General features: G+C 34.6%; 1 protein-coding gene across 2 annotated transcripts in view; it reads left to right on the top strand.

The window, feature by feature from the left end:
* Positions 1-17,964, top strand: part of OXR1 (oxidation resistance 1) — a 482,517-nt gene that overhangs the window by 80,337 nt on the left and 384,216 nt on the right. For both annotated transcript variants that reach the window (NM_018002.3, NM_001198533.2), the window contains exon 2: positions 8,962-9,122. In NM_018002.3, coding sequence (NP_060472.2) covers positions 9,100-9,122 — 23 coding nt within the window. In that variant the 5' untranslated portion in view covers positions 8,962-9,099. The remainder of the gene's footprint in view (positions 1-8,961; positions 9,123-17,964) is intronic.

Below are 17,964 nucleotides of genomic sequence, written 5' to 3' on the forward strand. Positions count from 1 at the left end.
TTGAATACTAATACTTCCCATGAAATGACTTTAATACAAGTAAAATGACAGCTGCACTGCAGTGAGAGGACACATAAAACTGCATTAGTTTGTCTCCAAGGTTACCATCTGTGCTGATCTGAAGTTTTAATGTGTGGGATTTCTCAACCTGTGCAAAGACTGTATTTTCAGGATAGGTATCAATAGGATATAAAAGCAGCTTGGAAGCTACTTAAGCATTTATTTGGGATACATCCATGCTGACCTTAATCATTCAATTGTTCTAGAGAGACACATATCTGTGTTCTGTTAGAAATTTTGTGCAACGATTGGGGAAATAGAATGTCAGGATTATTTGACTCCACTTTGCATATACAAATAAAAAGATGTGAATTTACATGTTGTACAACTGAACTACATTCTGGATAAAATTGAGGGGCAAAACAGATTTGAAAAATTGGATGACTTCTACTCTAGAGTTTTCATAGTTATTCCATAATTAATATTCAAGTTTCAAGAAAATATTTAAAAACTTATAAAAGTATAGACATTTTAGGAGTCTAGAACCTATAAATACGGCTCCAAATTAAAGAAATGGTATTTTGATAGTCTAAAAGGAAAAGAGAGACTGCTGTTAGTTCAAAATTGTATAGAACTTAACATTTCTTAATGTAAAACATTTATCATTTTTTCAACAAATGTTGATTGAATACCTTCCCTGTCCTAGGCACCGTGCTAGGCCATAAGTTTGCAAAGTCATTAAAACTTGCTGTCTGTCCTCAAGGAATTTACAATCTAGATGGAAAACAGACCAGCCCAGGTAATTAAACCACCCTTTCTGAAGGTTGTCATGGAATAAGAACAGGATGTTGTGAAAGAACATAGGGGCTGCACATAATGACGATTAGGCAAGTTTGGAAGAAATGATGTGCATGTTGAGATGTAATGAGTTAGAAGTTAGCTGAGCAGAGGGGAAAGGAAAGGGATGAGTGTAGCAGACAAAGAGAAAATAGCACATCAAAGGCCTGTAAGCTGTGGAGACACAGATGCATTCGGGAAAATGCAAATCAGCTTAGCTGAAATATAGTGTGTATTGGGGAGCAGGGGAAAGGAGGTAAGGGTCTCAGTGAGAGAAGGTGGAAAGGAAAGCAGGTGTCAGATCACCTGGAGTCTTGTGAACCATCTCAGGGAACTGATACTTTACTGCGAGGGCAATATAGAGCAATTACAGAGTGTTGGGGAAGACATCTATTACCACCAGCATCTCCTTGTTCTTCCTCATGATTGTCGTCATCATCATTGTATGAACTCACTATGTGGCAGGCAATATCAAGTTAGTTCATGCATTTTTACATAAAATTTTTATCATGAGCTTATTACTACATCTAATATTCCTATTTTACAAATGAAGAAATAAACAAGGAATGCACTTAGTTTCCCCAAGCTCACAGTTACCAATAAGCACAGTTGGTAATCGCATCCAGGAGTTTCTGACACCATAGTAGTCCCTGCCTCTCTACTCTGCAGTTCTTATGTAGAAAATGACTGTGTTCCACCAAGAGCACTCAGTTTGCAGTGTATTGCAATGATGTATTAGATGACAGCTAAACTGGAAAGGGGGGCTGGTTATGAAGTCATTGTTATTAATCAGGCATCAGAAGACAGTGGATAGAGGTAGTGAGAATGGAGAAAAGTGGATGTGTTCCAAATATATCTCAGAGGTAGAATCAACCAGGCTTAGTGATTAACTGGATGGGTGGAACAATATACTTCTGGCTTGGACGATGAGTATATTTCAGGAAGTGTATTTGTAAAATCCACTGGATATGTTGGTTCTCCAAGAAGCAGTAATGTCAGAAAGATTACATTTATACATTTCTGGTAGGAATGTAAATTAGTACAACTTCTATGAAAGGGAGCTTACCAGTGTGTTTTAGAATTTAAAATGTGCATAGGATTGACCCAGAAATTTTATGTGTAGGTATTTATCCACAAATATAAACCGATATTATATCATGTGTATAAGGATATACACTGCAGCATCTTATGTAATTGCAAAATATTGCATACAAACTCAATCTCCTTCAGTATGAGATTGGCTGATGAATTAAGGTAAATCCATTCAATGAAATGCTCTAAAATCCTGAATAGGAATGAGGCATCTCTATATGTGTATTGATGGGGAAATATTGTATATGTACATGACTTTATGACTGTATGTATGTAAAAAATAAAGGTGCAGGTAAAACTGTATATGTTAGGCTGCCATTTTATCAAAGCCAAGTAGATAGATAGATATCGAAGTAGATATAGATATAAATCTGATAGCTGGGTACAGAGGACAGAAAAGGGAGAGATATTTATTCTTCAGCGAATATCCTTTTGATTTTACTCTATAAGCATAGATTTCTTATTAAGAATTAATAACAAGATAACACAAATTATAAAAATTCAAGGCAGAACCCCCTCTTTTAAAATCTTGTCTCTAGAGAAAGTTTACCTTAAGGGAAAAGTAAAACTGTTAGTTTGGTTTCCTTGTTTATTTTGTGCCTCATTAAGAATTTAACTATGGGCTAGGCATGGTGGCTCACGCCTATAATCCCAGCACTATGGGAGGCAGAGGAGGGCAGATCATCTGACGTCAGAAATTCGAGAGACCAGCCTGGCCAACATGTCAAAACCCCATCTCTGCAAAAAAATACAAACATTAGCCAGGTGTGGTGGCGCATGCCTGTAGTCCCAGCTACTGGGGAGGTGAGGCAGGTGAATCGCTTGAACCCAGGAGGTGGAGGTTGCAGTGAGTCGAGATCACGCCACTGTACTCCAGCCTGGGCGACTCCAGCCTGGGTGACGGAGTGAGACTCTGTCTCAAAATAATAATAATAATAATAATAATAATTTAACTATATAGACAATCAATTTTCACAGGAAAAATAATATCTTTCCCCAATGATTGACTTATATCCTTCCAAAGTCCTGGAGTTCCAAAAATTCATAATTCAAGTGTAAGAATATAATAATGTCACTAAATTATTATTTTTGAGTCATTCAAGTCATATTGTTGCTAACATTTTATTTTGTTCATTTTTTACATTAAATTTTTTTCTTATTTTTTAATTGGCAAATATAAATTGTATCTATTTATGATATACAACATGATGTTTTGATGTATGTATACATTGTGGAATGGCTAAATCAAGCTAATGAACATGTCCATTACCTCACTAATGTATCATTTTTTATGGTGAGAACATTAAAAAATCTGCTGTCTTAGCAATTTTCAAGAATGCAATACATCGTTATTAACTATAGTCACCGTGTTGTGTTGTACAATAGATCTCCTGAACTTATTCCTCTAGTCTAACTGAATTTTTTGTGTCACTTGACTAACATCTTCCCACTACCTCCAGCCTGCCGCCCCTAGTAACCACCATTCTACTTTCTGCTTCTATGAGTTCTGCTTTTGTAGATCTCACATATGACTGAGATCATACAATATTTGTCTTTTTGTTCCTGGCTGATTTTAGCGTACTATCTTTCAGGTTATCCAAATTGTTTCAAATGACAGAATTTCTTTCTTTTGAGAAATGTCCATTCAGGCCCTTTGCCCATTTTTTTTTTTAATGTATAGTATATTCAGAGCTCAGGTATGAGCATTGTAAGTAAGCAAGCTCAAGCAGAGTAGAGAGCCTAGGTTAGGAAATATCAATAAGGTAAGTTTATAGGGAAACCAGAAAACAAGAAAGAGGCTTTAGATTTTATGTGAAAATAAAAAGGAATCCACCTTGTAAAACTCAAAAGAGTCTAATATTTCTTTGATAATTTGCTCTGCTAACATTTATTTGAATCTTTAGCATAAAAGTCTTCTCTTCATACCTCATGCATTTTATTCTTCATTTTATGCCCATTAGCTCTTGTAGTGCCCTGAGTGGAATTCAAATATATATGTACCTCATTACCTGCACAGTACATCTCTTAAAACAAAATCCAATGGACCCTTGGATATCCCAGTTTGAAATTATCTATAATGTTTAGTATCCCCTTTGGAATTGAAGCCTAATTTTCTGCAGGCAAGGCAATGTCATTCACTGTGTACACTTAATGCTTATGGTGCTTATGGTCAAAACCTTGAACCATTTTGGTTCTTCCAAGAACCATTTTTATAGATTTACTGTTTTAAATATGAAATATAGAAAACCTATATTTATTATGTGGTAGGTTACTTAAACTGATATTCACAGAATTTTAAGATCTTAATGATACAGCAGCATCTAGGTATGTATAGAAGTAGTTTAGAAAAATGTGTCTTTTGCTTAAATAAAATCACTTCACAGAAGATTTGTGAAATGGCAAAGTAATTACAACTAAACGAATTTATTAGAATATAGTATTTTTTTTCAGATGGATTTGAAGCCTAAAATCTCATTCATGAATAAAATGATTAAAATGATTATTTTGGTAAAGTATCATCCCAATAATCCATTGTTGTATTCAAGGACTCTTCACATTTTAATAAATATGTTAAAAGAGAGAGGGTTTATTAAATTCACATCCTATTTTCCTTAATATTGCACTAAATGAGTGACCTAAAGAGAACAATTGTGTCTATGCTTATAGCTTATATCATAGCTGGGCATTCAGGGGAAGTCAAATCACTCCATATATTTTAAAATGTTTCCTCTAATATGAAGATATAGTCTTTCTCTTGTGAAAAAGGGACAGATCTCACTCTTAGCAATGTTAGAATTTTGGCTGAAAGCTATGAATTCATATGTAAGTGTGGAGAATGATGTTGGAGATTTGTGTTAAGATTATGAATCACCAAAATGAACAAAAAATTTAAACTTATGTGAAGATTTTAAAGATGTTTTCTCTGGAAAGATTACATTGATAAGCAATCAATCATTTACATGTAATTAAAAAAATAACAAGCCCAATACAGGGTTTTTTAAAAAAATCACGTCATAAAAAAGTAAATATAACAGGCTTTTTAATTTTTTTCAACTCAGTAAGCTTTGAGTGCCTGTTAGGCACATTGTGCCTATTCTTGACAAAATAAATCAGATAGTTATAAGTTATAAAAGAAAAGGAAAGATGATATAACAACAAAATGAATGTTAGAGTGATTAGTATAATTGCTATGAATGGTCACTATAAATTTTTTTGTGTGCTTGGATATTTACTTATAAACATGTAAGTTTTTTTTCTTTTTCTTTTTTTTAATTTTTGGTGTCATCAGAAAAAATGCAATTCTTTAATATTTATTTCATTTTAGAAATCTACATATAAGCTTATCAAATTCCAAGTTGGTAGTTATTGCAGGTAAAGGACATTGAGTAAAGATTGCACTTTTAAACATTATGGTTAGGATCTTAGGAAATTATCCTGAACTTTAAGGACTAAAAACAATACCCTGTCAAAGAAAAAATGCATCAGACAGAGTTAAACAGCTGCGAGGAAAACTGGATTCCATATTATTGCAATAGAGGAGAGAGACTGAACACAACTCCGCTAAAACAAAAGGCAGAAGTGTTTTTAAGTGCTGGATTGAGCTTGCAGAAAAGTTCTAGAGGACATTGAGTGAGGGCATGGTTGGTCAATTTGATTATGCCATCTTTGTTTACTAATTGGCACTTATTTAAATTAGACTTCTACCCTCCCACAGGGAGAGGCAGCTAGCAAAGCTATCTTTTTCAATGGCTACATTTTAAAGGGATGGCTCCCAGGTCCTTGAGAAATACATTACTGGATTATGAAACTGACAGGTGGTTGACACAAGATTTGCATCTCAAAGGGGCAGAGAATGGATTTACAATTGCAAGTTTCCTGAAGTAAATACCCTAAGGAAAAGGAAGTCAGGAGGCCATAGACAGGAAGAAACCCACCTAAAGTTTAGTCAAACTGAGGGAAACATTAAGTCTATCTTGGTCAACTCTTCAGTTATACTAAATTGTACCATGTACATTGACAATATTTGACCATTTTTGACCTACAAAAGCAATGGGTTCATATGACTCTATCTAAGATTCTAGGATCCAGTTTGTTTTTGTATTATTTTTACATTCTGCAGAAGCAAACAATTCTCCACTTATGGTTTTTAGTTTTACACTTTCTTATTTCAAAAAGGACTTAGGGGGATTTTATGTGTATTTACATTAAATAATATATATATTTATGCATATGTTTGTATATATCTGTGTGCTTATTTAAAAAAAGGTTAAAATTGAAGTTGGCAAAAATAATAATAAAAAAAAAGGTTAGCAGAAGTCTTGAATACTTCCTAAAGAAATGTCACAGGTTTGTTTCAGAGCTTCCCATAAGTTAATGCAAGGAAAGAAGTGTAGTAAGTTGCAGTAATGACCCTAGGAGAAAAGCAACCCAGAAATTTAGAATAATAGTTTTACAGGTGTTCAGACCTAACACAATTTTTCCCTTTAAGTGCTCATAAAGGCAACATTTGTGTGTTGGCAACTTGTCCACTAAGCCTAATAGTTGATTTCATAGTCTGGGTTTTTGCTCGTTGATTGTTTTTTTTTAAATGATGTCTCTCAATGCAAACTTGGCAAAACTCCACAGTGTAATTTAGTAAAAGCAATTTGATTAGGTATGAAAATAACAACATCCAGATACACAGTCCTCTAAAGATGGAATTAAATATATCTAGAAGAATGAATTGCATCAGACAATATTCCATATATATGTGTATATATGTGTGTGTGTGTGTGTATATATATGCTTTTTTTTTTGGTAAACTGAACCCTCGATAAAAATGAGGCAATACAGCTTGGAAACTTTTGAAGTTAACTGTTGTGGTGTCAGAATTTGGAGTTCCTTTGCCTTTACAGATGTAAGTCTATATGCCGTAACAATTTTACCAAGGACAGGATAGACAGCCTCTTTTGGAATGTAAACAGACAAGTTAGGATGTGGATGAAACTTCATAGCTGCTTACTTCACTGGCAGGCCAATATTATTATTCTGGCAGTCAGGGTCCAGCTAAAATTAGAATTCATTAAAATCATGGTTCTTGCTTTATTCCTTGATAGCCACTCATATGCGCTTGTATGCACACAACAATTTTCAGAGTGTGCTTTATTTTTGTGCTTTTTTAAAAATATGATGGCCTCTATGTTAAATGGTTTTTTATAGGTAAATATTATATTTTATTAATCCTTGTATCATTAATACTAATAGTAATAGGGCACGAGAAATATTTTGTTTGCTTATGAATGACTTAAGGAAGCTGAAGTTTGATATTTAAAATTATAAATATAAAATGTAAAATTGTCAGTAAACAATGGACTGATTCCATCTCTCCTTTGCCCCATGTTTTCCGCTTTGCAGTAAGTAAAAAAACCACAAAACTTTGGGGGTCAAGGTCACCAAGTCTCAAACGTGGTGGCAGACGCTGCTAGTTTTCTGCCAGTATCCACTTCCCCACCTTCCTTACCGACAGGCACTTTGGTTTACGGTTAGGACACTAGATGCCCGGAATAATGGCTGCATTTTCCAATTGTCTTTAGAGTAAGAGTGGCCAAGTATCTAAACTCAGGCCAATAAAATGTAGGCAGAAATGTCATGTGTAAATGTTAGGAAGCATCCTTCTTTTCTTCGTCCTCCTTTCTGCTGGCAGGAATGCAGACATATTCGCTGGAGCTCAGCAACCTCTTGGACCACGAAGGCAAACACATGATTGAGAAGGGTGGACTACAAGAAAGAATACACCTCCTTCCCTGGTGTCCATGGAGTTGCCATATATGCCTTGGCCTTCTCAGGTCGAGATTTATTTGTATGAAAGAAAAATAAACTTTTTTTAAGCCACTTTATTTAGTGGCTTTTTCTTAAACTTGTAGCCCAGCCTAATGGTAGTCATTTGGGGCACATCTTTGGAAATCCTTCCCAACTCCCTGAGACTGGGCTGGAAGCCCCCTTTTCTGTGCTCCCACATGCCCTGTATGTGCCTTTATTAGAACACTTTCCCTATTTTATTGAAATCATCTTATTTTACATAAAACATTATTTGAGCACAAGAACAATGTCTTATTCATTCATCCCTGAGCTAAAGCTAGGATAGTGTACGTTCACATAGGATATGCTCAATAGGTATTTGTTTAATTGAAAAACACTGGATTAATGACCTGACTGAATAAAGTGCTAACAGTACTATGGAATTAATTTGATTGATTTTGATTCAAAATCATAGGACACTATAGTAGATGTCAAAATACATGTGTGGAGATGTTTGTCATATTTGTTACATACATAACACCCTGGCTTATCTCCCCCATGTTAATCAATATAAATCATTTTTCCTATTATTTAGTGGAATAATTTAATTCACTAAATAATTTAGTGAATAATTTAATTCACTAAATAATTTAGTGAATAATTTAATTCACTAAATAATTTAGTGAGTAATTTAATTCACTAAATAATTTAGTGAATAATTTAATTCACCGTCTTATTTAGCGAATAATTTAATTCACTAAATTATTTAATGAATAATATTTTGTTAAAGCCTTGGGTGTGATGGCAACTTGTGTCATGGAATTCTTTTCTTTCTTTCTTTCTTTCTTTCTTTCTTTCTTTCTTTCTTTCTTTCTTTCTTTGCTATGGGCTAATCAGGATCTTTGTTCTAATCTTTTTATCACAGGTATATAAAACTGATTTGGAGAGTATAACCATATGAGAAAATATTTGGTTCCTCCAAATCACATTCTCTCATTTCCCTGAATTCTCTACTCCGGGGATTTAACATTTTATTAACTGTTCAGATGGTTTTAAAAGTAAAGCATTCAGCTTATCATATGGTTGGTTTAATTTTATCTTTGGTTTATTACATGTCTTATATTTTAAGAAAAAGATCATATTTTTTGTGTGTATCTTATACCATGACAAAACCATTGATTTGGATGAAATAAATCTGTGACAAACCACATAGACCAGGTACTAGAGATATTCATTTATTTCTTTTCTTTATAGGTCCTCTCAAACTGTGAGTAACTAAGTGGTTTGTGCATCATTCCAGAAGCAAAGCTAAAATTTTTAGCGGTGTTGTCGACTTGACCTGCTAATTTCCTGTTCTGGAATCGAGAGAAGACTCCTCAACAAGTTGCTGCAATGTCTGTGTCTAATCTATCATGGTGAGTGAATGGTTTTCTTGCCTTAAATGTAAATGAAAATATATCATGAGCAGTATTTTCTGAGGGAGTCGTACAGGCAGAACTTGGGCAGAGAGAAAACTTAAAAATCTGGTTTCCAAAGATTATTGTCCCATGTTAGCGTAAAGAAAGCAATCTAGGATTAGAAGTCTGACACTTTCAGTGCTATGATATCTGGGGGCTCTGGAAAGGATTGAAGCCTCGCACTGAATCCCAGTGACCTCCAATACCTTTCTTCCCAGCACACCCTAGGAGAGAGAAGTAATATTATATCCTTTCAGTATTCCTTGCTATCGGTATATTCCCAGATATAGGACTAGCAAGCTATATGGGTGGCTGCCAGTGTGGGGTAGATATTTGCTCATCAGTACTTCTTTGCTTCAGGTTTTATATTTCAACAAATCTACCCAGATTAAACTGAATAGAACTGAAATACGGAATAGAAAAATTTGTTATAGATGCACATCTCTAAATAGCTGGCATTCTAAATAATCTTTGACTTTCAGTGCATGTTTAAAAGCTGTTTGGGATTTAAAAAAAGAAGTGTAAGGATATTTTTCTGACAAAAAATGAGCTTTTCTATAGCAATGAAGAACAATACTAGTAGGGATAAATTTGAAGGTATTTTATTGAACTTTGACTTTTTTATATAACGAGATGAGTAAGTGACATTTATATAAATTTACAGTATTCAATACATGAATATAAGGAAAATCTGGTAATTTTTTCCATTTCTTTAAGAATTCATTTTATCCTTGCTCTTCAATTTGTGCTGGAAATGTAGATAGCATCAGATTAAACAGTTGTTACTGGCTCAACTTAGCTCCATAAATTTATTTTTAGTGAAGTCAGCAATTTTTTTAGGGCAAGGATGTAATTATTTGTTTAGATTCGGAGTCATGTTTCTGAAGGACCCACTGTTCATGGACTCCCTAGAAGATATCCTTGGATCTTTTGGCCTGGGTGCTAAGAATCTCAGTTTGAAAAAAAAAGCATTAAAGAAACTAAAGTATAATCAAACAAATTTCATTTAAACTTTGAATTATTACTGCACAGTATGTTTTCTTATTATATTATTATTAAAATTAAAAGTTTTTAAAAATGTAATTTTTGTAGAACCTGTGAGTCATTTTGAGCTCCTGGGAGACCTTGACACGTTTCCTTAAAGGAATTATACTCCTGGCAAATTGTGTGTAGGAGATGAATTCTCAAAAAGCAGGGAGCATGTCAAAGAAGGGGGACAGGAGGGTTGGGGAAAGGAAAAGGAAAGGGCAGGAGATTGAAACAGGTATGATTGTTGTATTTCAAGATAGTGTGCAGTGCAGCCTGGTTCACAGGGTCAGGGCAGGACTAACATTGAGGCCTGGCCTCGGTGCATGCTTCTATTAACTGCTTTGATGTGATATGAGGATATGATTGTTGCTCCAAAACACAGTGAACTCCGCAAAGAGAGAGACTGCATGTCATGGTTCCAGCCCAATTGTCCAGCACAGCACCTAGAATTTAGTAGATATTCTGTAAGTGCATGCTTGGAAATGAGTGAAAAAATGCAAAGCAGGTAATTCAATGGTAAATAAATGTTATCCTTCTAAAAGAAAGCTTTAAATTGTGAGGCTATCTTATAGAATTCATCTATGTGGAATTTGTAAGAATTCTTTCCATGTTACAGCTTCAGATTTTATAGAAATGATTCTTGGATATTTTTATCAGCACTATCCTCGATTCTAGCTAGTGTTCTGCATTAGATTTCCATGCAGGGAGCTATTAATTTGTTTTACCAGTGTCACCCCCACCATGCAGCTGTGAGGTGTTTGGCATCCTCATTCTCCCACTTAGCATTTGGGTTGCCCAAGTGCTGGCAGCAAAGGAGACAAGAAAGTAAATCTAAAGCATGCAAAACGAGTCACTGATTTATGTCACTGATACCTAGTTTAGACATCGTTAACCTTCTATTTTTTTTATAATAACCTTTGTAATTCTTCTATATTCCTAACATCTTCTAATTTTTATTTTGGGGATTATTGTTTTATAAATATTTTAACAGGAATGCACAGTAACTCATCATTACATTAATTTAGTTAAGCTGTTATAGTCCCTCATCGGGCTCTCTGTTTTGAAATCCAGAAACAAAGACATGAAAATATTGACTGATATGGGAAAATTAACTGGGTTGAAAGATTACTAATTTAAAATAAGACATGTAACATTTAAGTGTATGCCATGCTTGATTTAGCCTGACTAGTGCATTCTCTAACTGTTGTGGAAAACTACATGGGAATCTAAATCAGAAGTTTGGCTGATAACCATATAATCATAACAAGGAGAGCTACATGCTTCCAGTGTTCAAAGGAATCAGGATAGGATACACTTGGCAGGATACACCTGTCAATAGAGGATCCACCTGCTAAACACAGAGGTCAGCCTCGCAGGGCAGCTTCTTCGTGTCTAGGAGTTGGATTAGCACTGCCAATGTTTGCCCCGATGATTCTGAGTTCCACTTCTGCCAGACTCTGTCTGCTTGGCTGTCTTGTCAATGTTACCACTGAGCTTCTAGTCAAAACTTCCTGCAATCTGTGAACAGTGTAGTCTGCCTACTATGACATCGTATTAGTTGACCATATCCACGTGTTGATTTTAAAATGTAACTCTGAGGTTAATGTGGGAAGTGCAGGATGCCTGTTGTGACTCTCGTAGAAAACCTAGGAATTTTAAAAGCATAGGTTAGTATAGTTACAGGCATATTTACAAATACCTAAGCAATTCTCCCAGCTTTTAAATACCCTGTATAAGAAAGTTATCTTTTTATACATTAAAGAAACTTCTTGCTCTAATAGTTATGTGTATGATACTTGAAAAAATATATAAATAATTTAGCCATTTCATGTAAAATCTAAGAAATATATTTAATCTAGGAAACTTCCAAGTTTCCAGGAAACTACAGTCTCAGTTGGAAAAAAGGAATAGTGGAACTTGATTGTTTCATGAATCTTCCTATTTAGTAAATAATGATCAGAGAGAGACAATGAGTAAGTTGATGCTCGTTGAAATAGAAACAAAGGGATGCGCAGAATCTGTTGCAGAAAACTACGAATAAGTGACAGGTTCCAGGCTAATCTGAGGGAAAGAATTGTTTCTGGTAGCATGGATAAGTAATTGGAGACAAAATACTGGTCAGCATATGTACAGTAACACTAAAATAGTGGGAACTTAGTGTGTAGTAGGGCCTGGAGATTAGCAAGGAATTGGTTTAGTAGTGGAGGGTCTCAGTATGTTGATAGAGATCCTAGTGAAGGCTCAACTGATTTTGCAAGATGACATCTTTTTGACCCAAATTATTTTTCACTGTGATGCCTGCACACACTTTAATTTTGGTCCCCAAATCTGTTAAAGACTGGACAGCATCTTGTGGAGGTGATAGTAATTCTTCTAGAGCCATGTATGGGAGAAAGAAGTCACTGGATGAAAGGCAGAATCCAAGTAGCCACTCAAAAACTAGTGAGCATCTATAACATGCCATGTCCTGTGCTAAGCACAGGGAAACAGTATTGGTTAAAAGTAATGACTGCTCTTTTTGGAGCTCATTTATAAGCCAGAAGACTGATAAGTGATCAAATAGCTCTGATTTAATGTGATAAGCGCTTTAAAAGATAAAAGGTACGTGCAGAATGTGTTTGAAAACAAAAGGGATATTTGTTTTGCCTGCTTGGGATGAAATGACTTATTTTTCAGAAATACAAATACACCTCTTGCATTTATTCCTTAATATAAAGAAATAAACTAATTGCAAATGGTCAAACACTACAGAAAAATTATATAGCAGAAACTAAAAATGACCTAAATCTTATAATTCACAGAAAACCATTGTTTAAAACATTTATGTATATTATTTTCTGCATATATTCGTTTTTTTTTTTTGCAAAATTAGACTCAAAACATGTATGATACTTTGCCATCTTCTGTTTTTAGTGAACAGTTTCTATGGCCCTCACTCCATTTGGTGGATATAGAGCCACATCATCACCTATAGAGGCTGGTGTATCATTGCAGGGCAGTAGTGTTGTTTAGCCATCTAGGTTGGACCTTCAGATAGCTTCCACTTTTCTTTTATACGATTGTAAATATTTCTGCTGTGGGGAAAATTATTCAGAGATTATTGGTCACAAAGTACTGTGCCATTCAGGGTATGCAGCAGAGCCCTATCTTGTTGCAACTACCTGGATTGTAGACATCAAGGCCCTGGAAGAAATAACGTTTCTGCGAAAGAGACTTGTTAATTCATCTTCTTTTTTTTTTCAGTTTTAGAAAAGGGTCCATTATGTATGCTCACCCTTTTCCCAGATTTAGTTCCTCATAAACATCAAGTAATGTGCTGGTAACTGGGAAATACTGCAGTTTGTTAGTAGAATTTTATCAGAAGTCAACAAAATATTCCGTTTTGCATGCCTACAGATTGGAAAAATAACAAAGCCTAAGTTGGGTAAGTTATTAATGTTTTGACTAAATTTAGAAATGGTGAATGATCTTCATTACATATGTATATCATTTAAAATACTATTATGAATGTTGGCAATTTCAATAACACTTTAATAGGAAATAAATACATTTGAATTATTCTCTTTATCCAAAAATAATGATTTTTTTTAGGCTGGGTGCAGTGGCTCACGCCTGTAATCCCAGTACATTGGGAGGCCGAGGCGGGTGGATCACTTGAAGTCAGGAGTTCAAGACCAGCCTGGCCAACATGGTGAAACCCCATCTCTACTAAAAATACAAAAAATTTGCATGGATGGTGGCGCACACCAGTAGTCCCAGCTACTCAGGAGGCTGAGGCAGGAGAATTACTTGAAACCAGGAGGCAGAGGTTGCAGTGAGCAGAGATGACACCACTGCACTCCAGCCTGGGTGACAGGGCAAGACTCCATCTCTAAACAACAACAACAACAACAAAAACAAAAAAAGTAATAATTTTTTTTTAGAATTTTAGAGTTCAGAAAAATGCAAAATTAGAAATGCAGAAAGTTTTCTTTGTCAGATTATTCACATTACTTATAATATTTATGTCTAACTTCTTATTTAATGAATAAATGAAGAAGTTGAATCATTCTATATTGTTCTTTGGCACCTGCATTTAGGATGAGAAAATTCTGGAGAGACAGAAGCAGCCACTTCATTTTAAGGAGGTGGAATGGGGAAATCAAACTCTTATCTCAAAAATTGCTATAGCCACTGTTTTGCAAACTACTTGTCCTATTTGTGCTGCTAAATTGCAGGCTCTCAGGGACAATACTAATGTACTTGTATTTGCAATGGCAGAGGAAGTAGAGACTTGAACTGTCTCTATTTGTGGAACAATCAGGACCTGCAGGGGGAACAATGTGGATAAATAGAGATTGTAAGGGAAGTTATTAGCCCCGGTTTTATAGTAAAGGAGGAAAAGTCAGAATTTTGAAGGGTCTATTGTTGTCAAGAAGGAAAAAATAAAGAGAAAGGTTAGATATGAATATAAGGCTGATATTTCTAATTTTTTTTTAAAAGGAGACCTCTGTGTGATAGGAAAAGCTTAGTTGTGAGAGATAATATGAGTATTTCTCAGTGGTAAGTTCATGTTGAATGAATGACTGTTTCATTACGGTACTGAGAAGAGAGTGGGTTTGAGAACCTGAAACCAAAGAATCTTCCTGTTAAGTGGAAATGGTCAGCTTGTAAAGGAGTAGAGACAGAGTAGAGTAACTCAAGTTTAGGGGAGCATAAATTAAGAGAAAATAACCTAGGAAGAGAAAAAAAAAAAAGAATAGAATAGCCAAAACAAAAGCTCAAGAGGAATGAAAAATGTGTCCTCCCAAATTACATAAAACTTTAAGGTAAAGTATCATTATTTGGGTTAAAGTTAAATTTAATTAATTCTACAAAATGCCAATGTCTTTCTATTCAAACTATGCCTTTTCAAATTGAAAGTCTTTCATTAGTAAAATGATTAATACTATTTTGATTTGGGATTGACACTTTAATTAAATACACTACATTTTTAGAATCCGCAACCATTTTTTGGCTTTGAGCTATGTGCCTTTAGAATAACTTTTTAAAAATTAGACATTTATAAGAGACTTGGATATTTTTCTTCTTGTATCTCCCTCAAATTATTTCTCTTTGAATAGTCAAATAATTAGTAAAACACTATATTTTAATTTTGTCTTTAAAAACTAATGCCAACTAGACATAAATCACATCCTTGAAAGGAATTGCTTGGTAAGTTTTGGTCTAGATAGAGGAGTTTGATTTCCTGTGCATTTAATGAGCCTGAGGTTGCAGGTTCAAACCCCACAGGGACTAATAAGTTCTATTCTCTTTCTTTTCCAAAGCCTACTAGACCTGTAACCTTGACCAGCCCTCCTTCTCAAACTTGCCATTGGTCATAAGTCATTAGAAATAATTGATTGATTATCACCAGCTTACAACCAGGTTTGGGGAAAAATATAAACATGAAAATCAAGTGTTCTTTAGGGGTTGATAATGGGTCACATATATCATCTTCCTTTTGAATATCATCCAGGTCAAATAATTTAGATTTATGCTTTGAAATAAGACTTTTCATCATTCTCAAATGAACCATAATTTACTTTCTTGTGGAAGATCTACAGTGAATTATCACACCAATATTTCCTTAGACTGTAGAAGCTTTAACATAAAACTGGGTAGTCCATTCCAAACCTTAAGGCTAGAGTTTCTAAACACCACCCATTTGTGGACTTGAACAATTAGGTAAAAGACCAGCAAATCGTCTACGATATAATTTAGTTATCAAAATAGTTATGTAGGCTAAGAGATGTTACTTTCAGCATGATCAAATAAAATTGACTGTCAAGTCTTAAACACTATTTTCTGTAAGTGTATAAAATTATCAACATTGTGTTATCCTAGTAAAAAAAATAAAGAGAAAGGTTAGACATGAATATAAGGCTGATATTTCTAATTTTTTTTAAAAGGAGAACTCTGTGTGATAGGAAAAGCTTAGCTGTGAGATAATATGAGTATTTCTCAGTGGTAAGTTCATGTTGAATGAATGACTGTTCCATTACGGTACTGAGAAGAAAGTGGGTGTGAGAGCCTGAAACCAAAGAATCTTCCTGTTAAGTGGAAATGGTCAGCTTGTAAAGGAGAAGAGACAGAGTAGAGTAACTCAAGTTTAGGGGAGCATAAATTAAGAGAAAATAACTGAGGAAGAGAAAAAAAAAAGAATAGATACATTCTCCATCTTCTTTCATGTATTACATTTTGTTTGGTTTTTATTTGTTTTTAAAATTTCCAGCTTGATTATAAAACTATTCCAGTTTAAACAATCACTTTTCATTACCATTATATGGTCAATAAAAGAATTCAATGCATTCATTTACACTGAGTTTTATGTTTCCCTTTTTTTTTTTTTTTTGAGACGGAGTCTTGCCCTGTTACCCAAGCTGGGGTGCAGTGGTGCGATCTCGGCTCACTGCATCCTCGCCTCCCGGGTTCAAGGGATTCTCCTGCCTCAGCCTCCCAGGTAGCTGGGACTACAGGTGCGTGCCACCATGCCCGGCTAATTTTTTTGTATTTTTTAGTAGAGAGAGGGTTTCACTGTGTTAGCCAGGACAGTCTCGATCTCCTGACCTCGTGATCTGCCCGCCTTGGCCTCCCAAAGTGCTGGGATTACAGACATGAGCCACCACGCCCGATCTATGTTCCACTTTTAAGGGTAGGTTCATTGATATGAGCTTTGAGAATAATTTAAAGTTAGTTTATGAATGAATAATTTTAAAATAATTCTTGCTCAATTAGAGATAAATTAGTATAATTTATTTCTAAACAGGCAGTATATTATTTTTATTAAATTAGAATTTAAAAATATTTATATTCATTCATTTCTTTATTCAACAAATTTTTGAGCATCTACATTGTACTATTTTTAATGCTGTGGAGAGAATGATGAATGACAGAAATTTCTGCTCTCATGAAGCTTAGATTAATTTTTATCTATATCTGTGCTGAAGACAGATATAGATAAAAAATATGTCAGCATGACAGATAGTGATATGTATTTTGAAGAATAAGCAGCTCATAAAGATAGAGTATGATGGTAGAGGATTGGGGAGTTGGTATGAAGAGGCTCCTCAGAAGTGACATTTAAGCAGAAATGAACTATACAACTTTTAGAGGAAAACCATTTCAGGCAGAGAAACAGAAAGGACAAAGAACCTGAGACTGAAAAGTATCTGGTATGCTTGGGGAACTGTCTAGGAAGCCAGGTAGGTGGAAAACAGCCAATAAGGGGGAGAGTCCCAGGAACTGAGCTTAGAGAGGTAGCAGGGAGGCATGTAGGCCAAGAGAAAGACTGGAGTGTGTTCTAAATGTGATGGGAAATTTTGCCCTCCCTTACTAGGTTACAGGTGAGAGTTCATATGAAATGTAAATTTAGAGAAATTCAGTGATAGGAATAATTGAGTGTTGAAAGCAGAGTCTTGACATGATCTGATTTCTAAATTCAAAAGGATTTCTCTATGTTCTTCAAAGTTTATGAAAATAATTCATATTGTATCCTTAATATAAACATATGACAGAAAAATAAGATATAATAAAAAAAGAAAAGATACCAAGGTAATGGAAAACCATTTTCATGAATATAACCAGTTTCTCATTATTATACATTTTAAGAGATTCAACAAATCTGACACATCTGAATAATTAAGGACATGGTATGTGTTTTGTTTTGTTTTATTGCATTTTATTTTATTTTTTATTTTTATTTTTTGTTTCTTCTTAAAAAAATGGGATATATGTGCACAGTTTTCAGGTT

The sequence above is a fragment of the Homo sapiens genome, chromosome 8 (assembly GCF_000001405.40).
Source record: "Homo sapiens chromosome 8, GRCh38.p14 Primary Assembly".
Classification (NCBI taxonomy): domain Eukaryota; kingdom Metazoa; phylum Chordata; class Mammalia; order Primates; family Hominidae; genus Homo; species Homo sapiens.